At 48.7% G+C, this 18,483-nt stretch overlaps 1 protein-coding gene and 2 non-coding genes across 13 annotated transcripts in view; 2 read left to right on the forward strand and 1 right to left on the reverse strand.

Moving 5' to 3' along the window:
• EVL (Enah/Vasp-like) overlaps positions 1-18,483 on the forward strand; it is a 172,815-nt gene that overhangs the window by 124,697 nt on the left and 29,635 nt on the right. For 10 of the 11 annotated variants that reach the window (XR_007064013.1, XR_007064014.1, NM_001330221.2 and 7 more), the window contains exon 3: positions 1,363-1,540. Coding sequence is in view for 9 of the 11 variants with exons in the window: in NM_001330221.2 (NP_001317150.1) it covers positions 1,363-1,540 (178 nt within the window). In the remaining 2 variants the exon portion in view is untranslated. Of the gene's footprint in view, positions 1-1,362; positions 1,541-6,203; positions 6,262-18,483 lie in introns of those variants that run through there. The other variant, XM_047431465.1, reaches the window with a different exon arrangement.
• On the reverse strand, positions 13,301-13,396 carry MIR151B (microRNA 151b). Its single transcript, NR_039601.1, has one exon. It is a non-coding gene; the product is annotated as a microRNA 151b (primary transcript).
• MIR342 (microRNA 342) lies at positions 13,537-13,635 on the forward strand. Its single transcript, NR_029888.1, has one exon. It is a non-coding gene; the product is annotated as a microRNA 342 (primary transcript).

An 18,483-nucleotide genomic window follows, 5' to 3' on the forward strand; every position in this document is an offset into this window, starting at 1 on the left:
TCCACCCAAGACTTGGAAAACAGCTTTTCTGGATGTCACTCATGTTTGCTGTCCTCTGGCTTTACCTTATCCAGCAGCACAGCAGTGTGGAGCAATAAAGGAAAGTGATAAATCAGCATAGAGAGCGTTATCCCCAACCTCAGATCACACAGTCCTTGCAACCTTAAAGCCAGACAAAATCTGAGAAATCATCTTGTACTTCTAAAGCAAAATCCTTTCCATGGCGTCTCTAAGAGCTGGCTCTCCGGCCTCATCCAGACTCTGCTTGCATACTTCCATTCGTAGAGATCTTCATATTTCTCCATTCAGTCACTGGCAGCCTACCTTGTGCCAGGAGCTGTGTCAGTTACTTTCTCATATATAATTTAATCCTCACAACACACTGTGAGGGTGCCATGCCATAGCCATATCACATTCTTCTCCATTTGACAGACCAGAAAACCGATCATTCATAAGTGTCATGATGTTAGATCATCTGACTCCAAGCTAGAAGGGATGGGAAGCAGAATGAGGGCTCCAGCCCCAGCATCTTTTCCTCCAGGGCACGACTTAGGAATATAGTCTTAAAGTACTTTGAAATAATCTTCTTTTAAATCTCTGAAAGAGCAGAAGTTTAGAGGTCAGGCAGACCTGGTGTTGAATCCCCTAGCAGCTTGTAAGCACCTGAATGTCTGGATTCTGTCGTCTCTGTATCCTTCCCTGCTGGGCCTGGCATTGCTCCTGGCAGTCAGTTGATGCTTTTTGATTGAGTAATAAGATATGAATAATGCTGTATACATGTGTGGTACATAAACTTTCCCAAGTTATTCTTTCGACACATAGCCCACTTATTAATGCATTCAAAGTACTAGACACTATGCAGAGGGCTATAGGAGGCATAAATATGAATTATAGAAGACTTGCCCTTAGGAGCTTTATATCTAGAAGGTAAGCTATAAATAAGATACGTATCACAATGTGATCTTCGCAGTAACCCCATTGGATTGGTAAAGCCAGAATTATTATCCCCATCTTATAAGTGGAGAAACTGAGCCCCAGCAAAGTGCAGTGACTGCCATGAGTGGAGTGGCTGAGAGGCAGGGCCAAACCAGAGCCAGGGAACCTGCCTCCCAGCTCAGCTGTTCATCTGGAGGTTGTAACTACATAGCATTATTAGTTAAAGGAAAGAACAGGTTTTGCAAACCCTCACTGTTCTATAGATTATGGTCTGAAAGTCTACCTGATATTGCTTTTCCCTTCTTCAAACCCCATCCCCATCTTCCTGTCCTCTCAAGGATACAGTATACTTGCTCCATCGCAGCGCCCTCGAGCTCACTTACATTTTATTTATTTACACGTATTTCTCTCTCCTTTCTCCTCCAGGTTGTGATCAATTATTCAATCGTGAAAGGGCTGAAGTACAATCAGGCCACGCCAACCTTCCACCAGTGGCGAGATGCCCGCCAGGTCTACGGCTTAAACTTTGCAAGTAAAGAAGAGGCAACCACGTTCTCCAATGCAATGCTGTTTGCCCTGAACATCATGAATTCCCAAGAAGGAGGTAAGTAGGGCTTTGTCTTGGCCTGATGCTGAGACCCTCTCTTGTTCTACCTCTGCCCTCCCACAGCTCTGGCTCTCCGGGTATCCTAGCACTGTCACTGCATTGAGCTGAGGTTGCATGTGTTCTCAGAGAAACCTGCTGCCTGCCTTTAGATTTAGAGATATTAACAATTCAGAGGAGGAAAGAATGGAGTTTGTATCTCTTTGCCACTTGTGAGATATAGATTTGTACAGATGTGTCCCTGAAGCCACATATCCAGATCTGTTTTAAACTTGCCATCCTGTTTCCATATTCCAGAGCAAACATTTGAGAGAGATGGGAGAAAACAGTCAAGAATTTATTTTTGAATTTAATTATTCATTCATATGTTTAACAAAAGTTTATTAAATGCTTACTGAGGGCAAGAAACCGTGTAGGCAAAATAGATAAGAAATGAACAGCGGCCTTCCCCTCAAGGCATTTAGTTTTTCATGGTAGACAGGTTCATAAACAGCTAACTGGAATGTATTGCAGTAAGTGTTTAAATAAAGGTACGTGCAAGGTACTTAGGGACCACAGAATAGGACATAAGTAACTGCCCTTCAGAGCCGCCAAGGGAGACCTCCACAGTGGTGGTGCCGTCTGAGCCGGAGTTCTGGGTGAGCAGTTCACAGGCAGAGGCAGGAGTGGGCATCGCAGGCGGGAAAAGCAGCAAAGGCAGAAGGGCCTGAGTGAGCCCGTAGTGCTGGGAAGAGGGCGATGCAGCATTTCTGGGGCCTGGAGTGCAGATAGGAAAGAGATTGGAAATGAAATTGGAAAGGCATCAGGGCTTGCACAGTGAAAGGCCCCAAATACCTGGAAGACTTTGGGCTTGCTTGATACTTAGGGTAGACATTGGGAGAGGGGCTAGCAAAAAGTTTCTCAGCAGGACAGTTAAAGCAAAGAAGCAGAATTACATGTGGCTTTTATTGGACATTTGCAGTGGTAGCTTTGGAGGGAGAAACAAGGCTTTCCCAGGATGGGTGTCTTGATTGACTGGGTTATGGTCCTGCCATCGGCTGGAGAGCCTACCTTGGGAGAACTTGGTAGTTAAGAACCAGGCATGGAGTCACACTGGTCAGTTTGAGTCCTGGTTCTGACATATGCTAGCAGAGGAACTCTTGAGCAAGTTACTGAATGTTTTTGTGCCTCAATTTCCTTACCTATAAAATCGGGGGATATAGAGTTGTTTTTACATTTAAATGAACTAGAATGTAAAATGTTTCTCAGGTTGCCTGGCCTAGTAACAACTCTATTAGCATTTGTGAGTATTATTACGATCATTATTGTTGCTGCTGCTGTTACTGCTATCAGAATTGAGGTGGGAAATGAAGAGACATAGTACTCAGAACCTGGAGGGCTGTGGCATTTAAATATCTACTGGCGCCAGGCGTGGTGGCTCAGGCCTATAATCCTAACACTTTGAGAGACCAAGGCAGAAGGATCACTTGAGGTCCGGAGTTCAAGACCAACCTAGGCAACATAGCAAGACCCTGTCTCTACAAAAAAAAAAAAAAAAAAAAGAAAAAGTGTGTACTGGGCCTGATATATTGGAGCTTTAGGACCCAGTTTAAGTGTTAGGAGATCTGGGCATTGTGGTGCATGCCTGCAATTCATGAGGCTGAGGTAGAAGAATCACTTGAGTCCAAGAGTTCGAGTCCAGCCTGGACAACATAGTGAGAGCCTGTGTCTTACATACAAACACACACCCACACACACACACACTGTAGGAGAGTTTTGTGGTTTTTTTAAGTAAATAAAGAACATGTTTTGAACATGCTTCCCATGGGTCGTGCGTAGAGCAGGTACTGGCAGCTTTCCCTATCTTGACAATGCTCCAAAGTTTGTAGATTTTCTGCTTAGTACTTGGAGAGCATGGTAAGGAAGCATCTTAATCATGGCAGTGTTGAGTGATGAGCACAGGGCCTGAGGCATCGTAAGTGCCCAGCAAATGTTTACTAAACTGTCTGTTTCCACCCAAGAGCCATGAGGTGAATTTAACATTTCCGTCTGAACTTACCTCGCCTGCCTCCAGGATGTGGGAGTTAAGCTTTTTTTTTTTTTTTTAATTTTATTTTAGTAGAGACAGAGTTTCACTATGTTGGCCAGGATAGTCTTGATCTCCTGACCTTGTGATCCGCCCACCTTGGCCTTCCAAAGTGCTGGGATTACAGGCGTGAGCCACTGCGCCCGGCCCAGCTTTATTTTACTTGTACATGCAGATACTTGTAGTTTTTATTTAATTTAAGTGGTTGGTCTGAAAGTGCTTTTTTTTTTTGCCCCCAAGGTAGCTTTATTTTACTTGTACATGCAGATACCTTGGGGGCAAAAAAAAAAAAAAAAAACACTTTCAGAGCAAGTGCTTAAATTAAATAAAAACTGCTAGTTATTTTATTAAATTCACCAGAGAATCACAGGTAAATCTGTTAATCCTGCCCTCATTTTCAGATAAGAAAGCCATGCCGCATTATGAGGAAACAACTTCTCGTTGTCAGATAGTAAGATCCAGAACCCGACCTCCTACATTCCCTGGGGTTGAATGAGTGTCTTGTTGAGGCGGGGGCGGGAGACATCAGCTAGTTTGGATGTATGCATACAATGTGAGAGTACCCCAATTTGAAGCTTTCATGAGGAGGAACAGTTAGTTGTCCACTCTGGTTCAGCTGGTAGTGACCTCCTTTGCATGGACTGCAGGTCCTGCAGCCCACTGACGAATAAGCTTTTGCTTCAGCCGAGGTCCAAGCCTACTGACAATACCATGCGCAGATAAGCAGATGCAACTTGATGAACTGTTAACACGTGTGTGCGCAGTTCCCAGTGCCAGACCGAGAAAGAAAATGTAGTCAGCACCAAAAGGCCCTCCCCGCAGTCCCTGCACTTAAGAATAGATACGAAGTCCACTTTTGTTTTTGTTTTTGAGCGTCATGTAAATGAAATCATACAGTGTGTATGATTAGCTTGGCTTGTTGGCATGTGTCTGTAGTCTCAACTACTTGGGAGGCTGAGGTGGGAGGATTGCTTGAGCCCAGGAGGCAGAGATTGCAGTTGCAGTGAGCCAAGATTGCACCACTGCACTCCAGCCTGTGTGACAGAGCAAGAGTCTGTCTCAAAAAAAAAAAAAAAAAAAAAAAAATGGAAGTATGAACCTTCCAACATTTATGTGGCTAAGGTACTCTGCCGAGGACCATGCAAAGATGTGCCATAATGTAAGCACCATCTACTTTTAAACATGTTGGTTGTCCCCATTTTCCACGATTATCCTCATGTGGTAGAGGGCATTCTTGTTATTTTTATGTGTATGTATACTTTGTATCTCATGTGTCCATATTCGCATGCTTGTCCAGTTATTTTCCTTGGGCATGTTTCTGTGTCAAACAATATATGTGCTTTTCAAGTTTTGGGTCCGGGCATGGTGGCTCATGCCTGTAATCCCAGCACTTTGGGAGGCCGAGGTGGGCAGATCACCTGAGGTCAAGAGTTCGAGACCAGCCTGGCCAACCTCGTCTCTACTAAAAAGACAAAATTAGGCCGGGCGCGGTGGCTCACACCTGTAATCCCAATACTTGGGGAGGCCAAGGCAGGCAGATCACCTGAGGTCGGGAGTTCCAAGACCAGCCTGACAAACATAGGGAAACCCCATCTCTACTAAAAATATAAAATTAGGCATGATGGTGCGTGCCTGTAATCCCAGTTACTCGGGAGGCTGAGGCAGGAGAATCGCTTGAACCCAGGGGGCGGGATTACGGTGAGCTGAGATTGTGCCATTGCACTCCACTTTGGGCAACAAGAGCGAAACTCTGTCTCAAAAAAAAGAAAATTAGCTGGGTGTGGTGACGCATGCCTATAATTCCAGCTACTCGGGAGGCTGAGACAGGAGAATCACTTGAACCCAGGAGGCAGAGGTTGCAGTAAGCCGAGATTGTACCATTATGCTCCAGCCTGGGCAACAAGAGTGAAACTCCGTCTCAAAAAAATAAGTAAAAATTAGAAAATAAAGTTTTGGGAAGTCTTGCCAAATGCCTTCTAGCATGACTATACTGGTTTACACGCTGTCCAGCACAAGACAGTTGCCCACTCCTCAGACTTCATAATTCATAAGCACTAGGCATTAGTACTCTCATTAATCTTTGTAAACACAAGAGAAGGGAAACATTTTTATTTGCATTTTTCTTTTTTTGGGAGGATGGAGTCTCGCTCTGTCACTCAGGCTGGAGTGCAGTGGCACTATCTCGGCTTATTGCAACCTCTGCCTCCTGGTTCAAGTGATTCCCTTGCCTCAGCCTCATGAGAAGCTGTGATTACAGGCGCCCACCACTATGCCTGGCTAATTTTTGTATTTTTAGTAGAGACGAGGTTTCACCATGTTGGCCAGGCCAGTCTCAAACTCCTGACCTCAAGTGATCCGCCCACCTCAGCCTCCCAAAGTGCTGGGATTAAGGTGTAAGTCACCATGCCCGGTCTGACTTGCATTTTTCCTTACTGGTAAGGGTGAACATTTGCATACATTAGTAGGCAATTTCATCTTTTCTGTTATTTTTATCAGTACCTTTGACAAGTGCAGCGCAGCATAGAGGAACACAGCCTCCTTGCACCTTTTGCTATATCTGCATAATTTCCCTCTCCCCAGGTGCGTGCATCCTCTAATGACAAAGCAACCTTGTATTTCCTTCCACAAATGAATGGAGGCAGCCTAACGTCATGTGGTATGTTCCAGGCTCATGATAGAGGATAAGTACACCTCCTTGGCTGTCAGGTGACATCTACATTGTCTACATTTTAGGAGTTGTTATTGTTATTCGTGTTTGTCATTCCTTGGACCTTTCCTTCTGCTGGAGAAACTTCTTGTTTAGCTTCTAGAGCCATGTTGGTGGGTCACAGATTCCTTGGCTCTTCCTCGTCTGGCTTCTGAAAGAGACGCCATCTGGTGTAATGATGGGGAAGGGAGAGCTAGCAGCTAAGAGACCTAGATTCCTCCAGAAGTGCCAGAGGGAGGGTTGGCGTTTTTCTCCCATGCTGGCCCCTACCCACCCGTTCCTCTTCTCTCCTTAAAGGGCAGTTCTGACCAGAGTATTTCTCTGCTGCCTGCTGATCTTGGCACCCACCATCATACTGTCACCTACTTTTAAAAATGGACATAAAGGGTGGGCACAGTGGCTCACGCCTGTAATCCCACCACTTTGTGAGGCTGAGGCGGGCGGATCACAAGGTCAAGAGATCAAGACCATCCTGGCCAACATGGTGAAACTCTGTCTCTACTAAAAGAAAAAATACAAAAATTAGCTGGGCTTGGTGGCGTGCACCTCTAGTCCCAGCTACTTGGGAGGCTGAGGCAGGAGAATCGCTTGAACCCGGAAGAAAAAGGTTGCAGTGAGCCGAGATCGCCTCACTGCACTCCAGCCTGGCAACAGAGCAAGACTCCGTCTCAAAAAAAAAAAAAAAAAGACACAAATCAGAGGCAAGATTCTGTGGCTCTGGGGCTTAAGAGGTTGTCATTTTATATTTTCCCAGAGAGTTTTTTTTTTTTTTTGAAGGAAAAGGATACCAAAAGTGACAAGAGCACACAGGGAGCTTTCAGATGAGCTTGTGTTTTTGTTTTCTAAAAATATGCAAACAGTAGAAAGGCACACAGCCAAGGACAGATGTAGAAAAGTCAGCGTCCTGTAGGGATTGGATGCCAAGCTTTTCAAATATTGTTCTCTCCCTGGAATGTTTTCTTACCATCTCTGCTTATCAACATCCTCCCCAGCCCTCTGGATCCAGCCTAGTGCTCTCTCAGCAAAGCTTTCCTCCTCCTTCAACTTCTGTCTCCCCGCTTGGCCTCCTGGGACACTTGGTTTCTGCCTCTCTTTATCCATTTCCTCTTCATTTTGCCTGCTCATGTACTGATCTTTCCTCTCCTACTGGGTTTCCCTTTCTCTGGGAAGACTTCTGTGGCCCCCCATGCCCACCCCAGGTGAGGATGAGGCGCCCCTTCTATGTGCTCCCCATGCTCCCCATTGCCATTCACCACTTTGTAACATTAAGGCCCGGCTGCTGTTTGGTCTCCCACAAGGCTGTTGTGAGAGGCAGAGACACAGCAGCTGACCTGGATCCCCATTGGATCCCAGCGCCCATCACAGTGCATGATGCATCCACAGACCCAAAAGAGCTGTTGAGTGTTGAGTGCATAGATACAAGCTCCTGAGGGCAAGGAGGTATGTGCTTTTCTCTGCGTTTTTCACATCCCGGCACCCAGGGCCCTGTGTGCTGTGGGTATATGCATGCACGTGCTGCAGGAGGGTGCGTGTGAGCGTGTGTGTGTGCATATGTACTTATTCTGAGCAAGTTACTTGATCTCCCTGTGCCCCAGTCGCCTGACCTGTACCTGCCCGTTGGTTGTTCTGAGGACTAACTGTGATCATCCCTTTAGAGTGCTCAGGACAGTTCCTAACACCAAGTAAGTGTTTGGTAAATAGTTGCTGTCTTTTTAAAACCCACTGTGACCTTTTCAGGTGGCACTGGGCCGGGGACAAGTACATAGTCTACCTCTGCATTCAGCAGCCCCAGGGGACTTGACTTTTGAGTTCTTCTATTTATTATGATGGTGGTGGTTTAAATCTTCTTCCTCTCAGGCAGACCTTCAGCCGTTACTTTTCTTTTTCTTTATTGTAATATCTGGTCCTGAAAGCTGAAAGTCATTACTTTCATTGTTGATCAGATCTCTGGCTTTAGCTTCTCCTTTTCTCATATTGGATTAATTGGTTATTTATGTGGATAATACTGTCTCAAAGCATGAGTTATTCTCTGGGTTGTGCCTCCTAATTGGTGAAGGTGGCCACTTGGTTTATTTGAGACAATTCTAAGGAATAAGGAGCTCTCCACACTAGTGTGAGGGCCCCAGGGCAAAAGATGTTTTTCTGCTCCTCAGAAAGTTCTCAGAGAACTTGGCAAGGTTTTTATAAACCCTGCAAAGCTCCCGTTATGATGGGGATGAGGTAGTTCTGCATTAAAAATAGTCATAACAGTTACCAGTCCTCATAATAATTTTTATTGGAACTATCAGAAGTCTGAGTGCCTATTTGAGAAAGAGTTTCCTTGGATGAATCACTGCAGGAACATGAGAAAGAAACATGGCACTGTGAGATCAAATGTGTAGATAAATAATCCCCCGCTGAGCTGCAGTCACAAGTGAATTTAAAGATAGGAAGGGTTTTAGGGGTATATAATCCAGTTTCTCCTCTCTTTACTTTTTTTTTTTTTTTTTTTTTTTTTTAACTTTTGGAGCTACTCCTGTAGCTGAAGGAGAAGAAGGGATGGGAGCTGGCCTCACAGAGGGCTTTGTAGAGCCACGGGGCCCCAGGGTCAGACCTTGTGCCGGTCATGCCAACATCCAGGGCCACCTCCTTGCTGCTCCATCTACTGCCTCCTGTTGGGCAGCTGCAGCCAGTGCCCTTGGCCCTGCATGTTTACTCAATCATGCTACTTAGCATGTTTTATTCAGGACACCTCTTTGGTACCAGCATCCCTACTAGCACGCTAGTCCTGTTGGGAGCAGGACCTGTGTTGTCTCAGTCATCCCTGCCTCTCTAGAACAAGTACAGAGGCGACACACCACGGGGACTCAGGATATGTGTGATAACTGCATGAGCCTTTTCACCTTTTGAATCTCAGCAACCCTCTAAGAACAGGGACCCCAATTCTAGCCTTCCAGACTGAGACTCAGGAGGCCTGGCTCTTGCCCTAGTCCCACCATCTGCTGACTGTGTGACTTCATCAGGTCTAGTGACATTTTCGAGCCTCAGTATCCTCATTTGGAAGACAGAGTACTGATTGTCCTCCACAGTCTTTTGCCAGGCAAGGCGCCCTTCAGGGTGCCGGGTAAGCTGTCATCTGCTTGGTAAGAGGTCATGGTGTTGAGGTAACCAAGAGACCTGGGTGCTAGACCTGGCTGTGCTCTTTCTTTGCATGTGCCTTGGGCAACTCATTTCCCTTTCTTGGACCTTGGTTTCTTCGTCTGTGAAATGTAGGTGGTTATCCGTGGCATGTCTGTCTCGCAGCATGAGAGTCCAAGGGGACGATGGCTGTAGAAGTATTTGAGACAGACAGCCTAGCACAAGCAGGAAGGGCTGTGATGGTGACTAGCAGTAAGTAGTAGTGGTTGTAGCAGCAGCAGCCGCTTGGCCACATCCCAACTGAATAGGGAACATGCCTCCCCTGCCACAGTGTCTGAAACTCTGCAGAAAGTTTGACTGTCCATGAGCTTCCTTGAGTCGGGGGAGAACCTGCCCTGCAAGCCGGGAGGAGGCTCTTGCCCCCACTCAGCCTTTGCCTCGCATGTGGCTTTAGTTACGTTTTGTCTTCTTTGTAGGTGTTGATGTTCTAGACTCTGAAATGGCAGTGTCAGACCAGACAAGAAGCTCTCACCAGAGACAAAGTGGAAACGGAGAGCTGTTGGCGATTTAGGGGACAGCGGGGACAGGTGCACATTGCAATGTGCAGGATCATCCTGCGCAGTGAAGTCTTGTCTTGCGTGTCCCACCAAAACATGCAGTTGAAAAACTCAAGCCAGAGCTTGCTCTGTTTTAAGAAAAAGCACTTATTTTTTTAACCAGGTTTAGTATGTGCTGAATTTTCTAGGAATTTGACTACTGCATCCGTCAAAAGAAAATCATACTTAATTTTGTTTGTAACTTTACCAAGAGTTGTTTTCTGTTTCGTAAAGTCCTATCTCCAGCATCGTCACTGTGACGTTTCAGTCATCCATAGACCTCCCCTTCGTCACATCCCATTTGCAGCAGCAGCACTCCCAGTGGGTCTGTGGGTAGGTGCAAGCGTGGACCGCCTCCGTCTCCTAGTGTAGCTGGGTCTGGCCCTTTATGTGTTGTAATGCACATTTTATTATAGACTGCTTCTCTTTTCTCTCTCCTTTGCAGTACATGTAAGGCATTATATCCGAATTTAGGTAGGTAGGTTATGTAATCTATGAATTTCACTTCAGGATAATGCAAGGATCATTACAAAACATTATAATAAAAAGAGGACCATCGGGCCTGAGAGGGTTGAAGTTTTGTGAAACTCGGGCTGGTTCCTTCCTGCATTGCATCTGTGTCTTGCCTGGTTGTCGCTTAACAGTGCCATGGAGATAGCACAGTGTCTGTCTCATTTCACAGCCAGGAAAACTGAGCCCCAGAGGGAGGAAGTTTGTACTTGGCCCAAACCACTTCCTGATATGACCCAGTCAGGAAGAGAAGCCAGGATGAGAACATGCTCCTCTTCTCCTCCAGTGCCTGGAAGTGTGGTGGGAGCAGCTTGGTCTAGCAGGAAGAGTGCATGTCCTGGAGCCGGGCTACGTTGGGTCTGTGTGACCCTGAGCAAGTCACCTCCTCCATCAGCAGGTGGAATGACACCACAGGCCCGTGGCAGTTCACATGACACGAAGATGCCCGGTGCCTGGTATGTGGCCTTCAGGGCCGTGCCCCATGCTGCTCCTCTTTTTGTCCCCACATCCAGCAGTTTTCCATTAAACCACTGTAGGTCCTCTCAGAACTTACTAGAGTCATCGTGTCATCGTCTCCCATTACTCCAGGAGAGCAGGGCCCTGGTGGCACTTGAGGCAAGACCCCAAGCTGATGGCACTCGACCACATAGTGGGAGTGAATTTTAAAGAAAATCCCCCTCAAAGCCTCTGCTGGTGTAGAAGGCAGATAGTCTAGGCCGGGGTAGGGCCAGTGAGTGGGAGCCAGGGAAGGAGGCTTGGGTGTCATGAGACTGGGTTTACATTTACAGATGACAAAACCAAGACCCAGTGAGGGGGAGGATGTGTGCAGGCCACAGGACAAGTCTGAGCAGAACCATGGCCACGCCCAACGTTCCTCCACTAGCATTCCCTCATGAAAGATCACTTTTTCCAGGCCAAGGACCAGAAAAGGACCAGGCTTTAGGAAGAGGGCCGAGGTGCATGGAAAGCAGTGCTGGTGAGGAGAGGGTTGAGTAACTGGATTTTGACTGTTTCTTCGCATTTGGTTCTCACTAATGAAATCTTGTCAGACGTGCCCCTGCTGCTGGATTGGGTGGGGGTGGGACAGAAGCATGTGTGGTCAAAGGCAAGTTTATTTGCAGTTTGGGGGTTGAATGCAGTGGATTTCAAACTGGATATTTTGAGGAGTTCCAGGGGTCCACCAAGGTATACCAGGGTCCTCGCCCTGATGCAACCAGAGTAGTTCTTCATCGACTTTATACAGTGGGACTCTGAAGAAAAGAAAAAGGAAAACCCCATAGCTTAGTGGGAATCCGGGCGAATTAAAACACAGGATGAAGTGCTTGTTCTCTTTGGCTCTTGGAGCATAATGTATGTCCTTTTCCTACTTGGTTTGCGTGTAATAACATCATTGGTATATTTCAAAATATGAAGCTCCTGGTGCTGGATAATAAATGTTTTCCCAGTTTTTCAACCTCTTATGTCCTTCATTGATGCCCAGTGGCCCAGGGGCTGCACCTTCAGCACAGTGTTGAGAAAGAGCCCCGGAAAGGGACTTACAGGCAGACCTTCCCGGGAAGAGTCAGGCCCAGCTCCATGTGCTCTTTGGAGGGGAGTGGAAGGTTGTTAAACCTCATAGCTCTTGGAGGTGGGGCTGAATTTTGCTTCTTGTAAACCTCTTTCCATTGGAAATTACCTCTTTCTCCCCTAAAGAGAAGGAAGTACTGGACTGTCTTCATCTCCCTGGCTGCCGAGGCCATTTGACACCTTGTGCCACCTGAGAGAAAGCAGGCCCAGCATGGCCCTGCCTGAGGGGAACAGGACGGCAAGCCCCTGGCCTCCTGCCTGCTCCCAGCTGCCCTCTGGCGGCCACTTTCTGAAAGCCGGATATGTCTCTTTGCTGACCCACCCCTGTTCTCACCCCAGGGCTCCAGATGTTGTATCAGGCAGGGCCTTTGTACGCCTCCATGCCAACAGCTACCCAAGTCGCACCGTCAGTCACACTCTTACTCAGGCTCTCCTGTGCCCCTGGCCCTTCTTCCCCTCTCACTTTTCCCCACACTTCTAAAATCTCACTCGTCCTGTCAGAATGTGGCTCCACAGATGGAGCCTTTCCCAGCCGCCCCGCTCCCTGTGACTTTGCACTCCCTCCTGCACTCCCACGGGGCTTTATTTTTGCCTCTGTCCTAACAGTCAGCTGCCACTTGGCCTGTCCTGCTATTCCCACTGCATGAATCTAGTCAGGTTGGAAATTCAGAAAGTGGCCTCTTTGTCTCTGGACCCCAAAAACCCACACATCGTCTGCCTTATAAGCTCTCAGTATATCCATCCCTGGCTGCAGGAACACACCAGGACCCAGAGGCTGCCGTGCCTGGAGCCCTGTCTCCTGACTCAGCCCAGGCCCCAGCTCAGCATCGAGGTCCTGTGGGACCATGTCCAGCAGTGAAGGCTGTGCATTGGCCTGAGCCCCTGGTCCCTCTGACTCACTGGCTCCCATTTTCACCACCTGCACTGCATATTCTCACCGTCTCTCCCCTGACACTCTCTCCCCTGAAGTGTTGTAATGGGGTTGTAACCCATCCACCTTCTCTTGTCCTTCTTCAGTCTGTCCTCCCTGGGCTGCGTCTAAAGGGGCCCCGCCCCTGCCCTCATGCATGTTCTCTCCATACTCCTGGTCACCTTCTGCTCATCCTTTGCCCTGCTGTTGTGAAGCCTTCCCAGTGCCCCAGAAGACCTCAGGCACCCCTTCCCAGTCCTCGCACACTGTTGGTGTCCCATTTGTTTGGACCCTGGGTTTGTTTGTCTAGACTGTGAGCTCCTCGAGGGCAGGTGTCTGTTTCTGTGTCTCGGGAGCCCTGAAGAGAGACTGACACATCAGAGGTGTCTGGTGACTGAACAAGCTCCCAGCTTGCGCCCATGTCATATTGTGTGCCTCTCATAGCCTGGCACTTCCTGCCATTGCATCCTTCTCTGCAGACTAAGATGGAGTTCCTGAACCAAGACCGCTTGCTGGCCAACCTGTGAAACTGGGCTCAAGGTGAGGGGTGCTATCTGTGATTGAGGGACATGGTTAATGGAATTGTCTCACACAGAAATCGCACCCGTCACCTTGGCCTACTTATCACCACCCCAAACAGAGGAACACGCCTTCTCCAGCCACAGCCTATGGAAGGGCCTTCAGCTGCTGTGGCCCCGAGGTGTGCATACTGTGGAAGGAACTTCGGACGTGAACTCGGATCTGGTTCCAGTACCAGCTGTGCCAGGAGTGTGCCCTTGGGCATGTCACTGACCTAAGACTCAGTTTCGCCATCTGTGAAATGGCTGAATCAGACTCACCTCACAGGGTTGTTGTGAGGGTACCATGAGATGATGTTTGTAAACATTCTTTGTCACCTCTAAATTACTATAACAGTTTGAAGTTACTCTTTTTAAAAAAATTATTTGCAAAGGTAACTAACAATATCAGCCGTGCACAGTGGCTCATGCCTGTAATCCCAGCACTTTAGGAGGTCAGGGGATCACTTCAGTGTGAGAGTTCGAGACCTGCCTGGTCAACATAGCAAGACCCTTGTCTCTACAAAAGCATTAAAAATTAGCTAAGTGTGATGGCGTGTGCCTGTGGTCCCAGCTACTCAGGAGGCTGGGGTAGCAGAATTGCTTGAGCCCTGGAGTCTGAGGCTGCAGTGAGCCATGGTTACACCACTGCACTTCAGCCTGGGCAACAGAGCAAGACGCTGTCTCAGGAAAAAAAAAAAAAGGTAACTAACAATATCAACTCCTGTGTGGTGCCAGCAGCCATCACGTTGGGACACAGAGGGAAGCCAGGCTTCTTGGATCCTGATGGTCAGAGAACACTTTCTGAGGGAAGCGGGGCTTGAACCTGGGCCCTGCAGGGCTGGGGGTGAATGGGGGGATCTGATGAGGAGGAGGACGGCGGCACCAGCAGATCTTGGTGGTTTGGAAGTTCAAATCAAGATCTGAGAAGAGGCTCTGTCTGACCCTGGGGGTCTCCCTCGGCACATTGGTAGTACTGTGCATGCCTCACGGGTGCCCCTAATTTCAGAGCATCCCACCTGCATCCTGCTGCTGCCATTGTCCTCCTCAAAAGAGCTGCTGGCTTATTGCAGTTTACATCCTAGAGAAGAGAGGTCTCCTCCTTCCACCAGTCCCAGGATTATCTCCCTAACGCTAATGGCGAGATTCCTTTGGAGTTTTAGTCTTCTGTAGATACAGCCCAGGCGCCATGTGCCCAGTCAGGGTTTGAGATAGGTGGTGGTTCATTCCCCAGCCTTGCCTCACCAGCACCTTCCTGACGCCTCCTGGTAGGGCTCAGGAAGCAGCCAGCTGAGGTGTGCCTGCCATGGTCAGCACAGTGGTTGACAGAAGTGGCACAGATTGTGGGGGCAGGTGACAGGGTACCATGCCCTAGCTCCAGGCACCCGCTCCACCCTGTCACATGGAGCAGCTGTGAAACCTTGAGCAAGCCATTTCACCATTCTAAGCCTTAGTGTCCTCATTTTTTTTTTTTTTTTTTTTTTTTTGTGATAGAGTCTAGCTCTTGTTGCCCAGGCCGGAGTGCAGTGGTGCAAACTCAGCTCACTGCAACCTCTGCCTCCCAGGTTCAAGCGATTCTCCTGCCTCAGCCTCCCAAGTAGCTGGGACTACAGGCATGCGCCACCACGCCCGGCTAATTTTTGTATTTTTAGTAGAGACAGGGTTTCACCATGTTGGCCAGGCTGGTCTTGAACTCCTGACCTCTGGTGATCCACCCACCTCGGCCTCCCAAAGTGCTGGGATTACAGGTGTGAGCCACCGTGCCCGGCCAGTTTCCTTGTCTTTAAAATGGGTGTGACAACCACCTCACAGAGTTGTCATGAGGCTCAAATGATAAAATAGATGGGACTGTGATTTGTAAGCATATGGCACAGTGAATGCAAGTTGTTCCTGGAGTGCCCAATCCCTAGATACTGGGATCTCACCCCTCAGTCGTAGCCAGAGTCATTTCATTCTGGTGTGCCACCACCCAGAGCTAAGCCGTATACTCCTTACAGAAAGGAACAAACCCCTTCCTGGATGCTCTTGTGCCTGGATCTTGGCTCCCTGAGATTGCAGGGAGATAGCAGGAATTACTTTCTCCATTTTAAGAAGGAAGAAACAAAGGCTCACAGTGCTAAGAAACTTGCCCCAGGCCACTCTGGTGAATGCAGAGCTTAAGGCCCAGAGCCCAGATGTTCTGATTTCCAGTCCAGGTCTCTGCCCAGTGGACCAGACTGCCTCTCAAAAGACCCTGCTCAGCTGGCAGCCCCCCAGCTTTCTAAACTATAACCCGGCTTGGTCAGAGGTTGATTATTATAAACACTTAACCTGCCCCATCTTTCTAGCCACATACCCACATCTTCGAAAGTGAGGGAAGAATTCATTCACAGCTGTTTTCTTTTTTCCTCGCGTAGCGTGTATCATTTCTTTCCTAAGGAAGGAGTTTTACAAGTAGCCTCCTGCCAGCTTCAGCTCATATAGGATAAAAGCCAGCTCAAATATTTTGGTAGATAACTCCGGAGACTCAGAAAGCCAACTGCTGAACTTGAGATACAGTTTCCAGTTTGAGAGTGGACAGGCTGCGAGTGTTTGAGGCCCTGCCCCCTGCCTATCTGCTGCCTGCCCTCTCTCATCCAGGTGTCCATGCAGCAGGGGGTTTCACAGCAGCCACTGTCTGACTGGCTTGCTCCTGCATTTAGCCCACTCTGATCCATTCCCCGCAAAGCAAGCAGACTGCATTTCACCTCTCAGTCAGGTCTCAGTCCTTGCCCAGAACTCTCTAGGATTTTAGGCTTAACTCAGAATATAGTCCACATCCTTACCAAGGCCTGCTTAGCCCGGCATGCTGTGGCCCTGGCTGTCTTTCTGAACTCACTTCCTCCCTACTCTCTACCTCTCCTCCTTCATCCCAGTTACGCCATGCCCCAGATGTGCCAAGCATGCTCCTAAAGTCAGGGCCTCTACACCCAAGGCCCCTTGTGCCCAGAATGTTTTCTCCCCAAAACCTCAGGGCTCCTTCCCTCACTTCTTCCGGGTGTCTGCTTATACCACGTAATCGCAGAGTTTGTCTTAAGAACGACCCACACACATTCCTTTAATTCTCATTCTCTGCTGTGTTTTTCTTCCTACATGTTGTGTCTTTATTTGTTGCCTGTCTCTCCTCTCTAGATTGTAAGTTCCAGGGGAGCAGTTTGTATCCACAGCTATGACCCCATCTGTGAATTACTGAGCACCTATTCTGGGCCATGCACCAGAACACAAAGATGAATAAGACTTGGTCCCTGTGTTCACAGAGCTCACAGCCAGGTGGAGAGAGAGCCTTGTCAATACAGTGTATGTTATGCTATGATGCAGAGAACACAGGGCTTCTTGCAGGGGAGGCTGTGGTGAAGGGGAGAGCTACTGGGAGAGCCCTGGGGGCGGGCATGCCTGATCTGAGTCTTAAAGGGGATGGACAGACGTTCACCAGTTAGAAGAGTAGCCCAAAAAGAAGCAAAATAGGCAACGGCACAGAGGCATGTGAACCTAGTGCTGCCATCTTGGATGCATGCGGGAGAAGAGAAAGGGGAGGCTGAGGAACAAGCAGAACCAGGCCTAGAAGGGCAGGCTTTGAGCGTAACATCCCAGGCTTAGCCTCATGCCTGGAGCTGCGAGGAAGGTCAAAGAGCAAGTGAGAGCCAGGACTCAGATTTAACTCTTAAGTGGCTTCAAGTCTATATGCTCAGAACGGTGCCCGGCAGGTAGTGAGCACTCAGCGGTGGGTGTTGCTCTCATCATCTTCCTCATGCTTCCTCTCTAGCCCCTCAGGTGCGGAAATTAAGTCCCAGTGAAAGGAAGTGAGTAGCTGGCCCAGGGTCAAAGGCCCACTAGAATCAGTCTGCTCATCGTGTGGGGGAAGGATTTGGGCTAGGAGGAGGGAAATCAAGGAAGGAATGAGGTGCCAAGCTTCAGATGCCCCCACAAGGCAGCAAGTGTGAGGGGTGGAGGGGGGATTCCTTTGAAGTCCAGTGTTGTGCTCTTAAAATCCATGCGTATTTTGCCTATTTGAACTGGATTCCAGGGAAGGAAAGAGGGAATGATGGTGTATTCCTGAGGGAGGGTGCTAAGGGAGTTGGGACATTCAGGGAGGAGAGAGGTTTGGTGGGATTGGCTGGGAGCAGCAGTCAGGGCACCGGGACAGGCAAGTTGGAGCCTGAGAGGCCTCCAATCCCAAAGTAAGGATGAACCCAATCCCAAGCTTCCCACATGGACCAGTGGAGAACCACAGTAGTTTCCTGGCCAAGGAATGGCCTGGAAGACCAGTGCTTTCCAGAATTGACTCTGTAAGCAGACTCAGTGGGATAAGCGGAGGCAGAGAGGCCAGTTGGAGACCCTTGGAAAGCCCTTCAAGTGAGAGCATGAGGCTTGGATCTAGACAGGCCAGAGAGGATGCACCTAAGAGACAGTTTGCAGGAGAGGCAGCATTTCATGGAGTCCAGCAAGGAGCGAAGCGAAGGAGGGCCGGGGGGGAATCAAATGAGCCTTACTTCTGTGAGCGGGTGCCAACTTGGTTTTCCCATACCAAAGTTTGGGGTGGTGCCAAATTTAGGCATGCCTCACAGGCATTCTCTGCACACTTGCTCCCTTCTGACGCCACACCTACCCTGTTCCATCCCATTGCCCACAGGGTTAAGAGGAGTGCCACCTACAGGGTATCTCTTGGCAGACACCTGGTGTCACCAAGGCCTGTGAGCTGAGCCCCACAAGGGGTCTGGACAGTCCTCCAGGGCCAGGGCCCTGGGAGCTTGCTGGAGTCAGGTGGGCAGGAAGGTTCTGATAGGTTAGCTGAGCAGCCTCATTAAAGATTGAGGTGGGGAAGCCCACTTGATGGCTGGAAGGCGTATCAGTTACCCACTGCACCAGCCAGGCGACAGAGGAGAAGAGGTAAGTGGCC

The sequence above is a fragment of the Homo sapiens genome, chromosome 14, assembly GCF_000001405.40.
Source record: "Homo sapiens chromosome 14, GRCh38.p14 Primary Assembly".
NCBI lineage: Eukaryota > Metazoa > Chordata > Mammalia > Primates > Hominidae > Homo > Homo sapiens.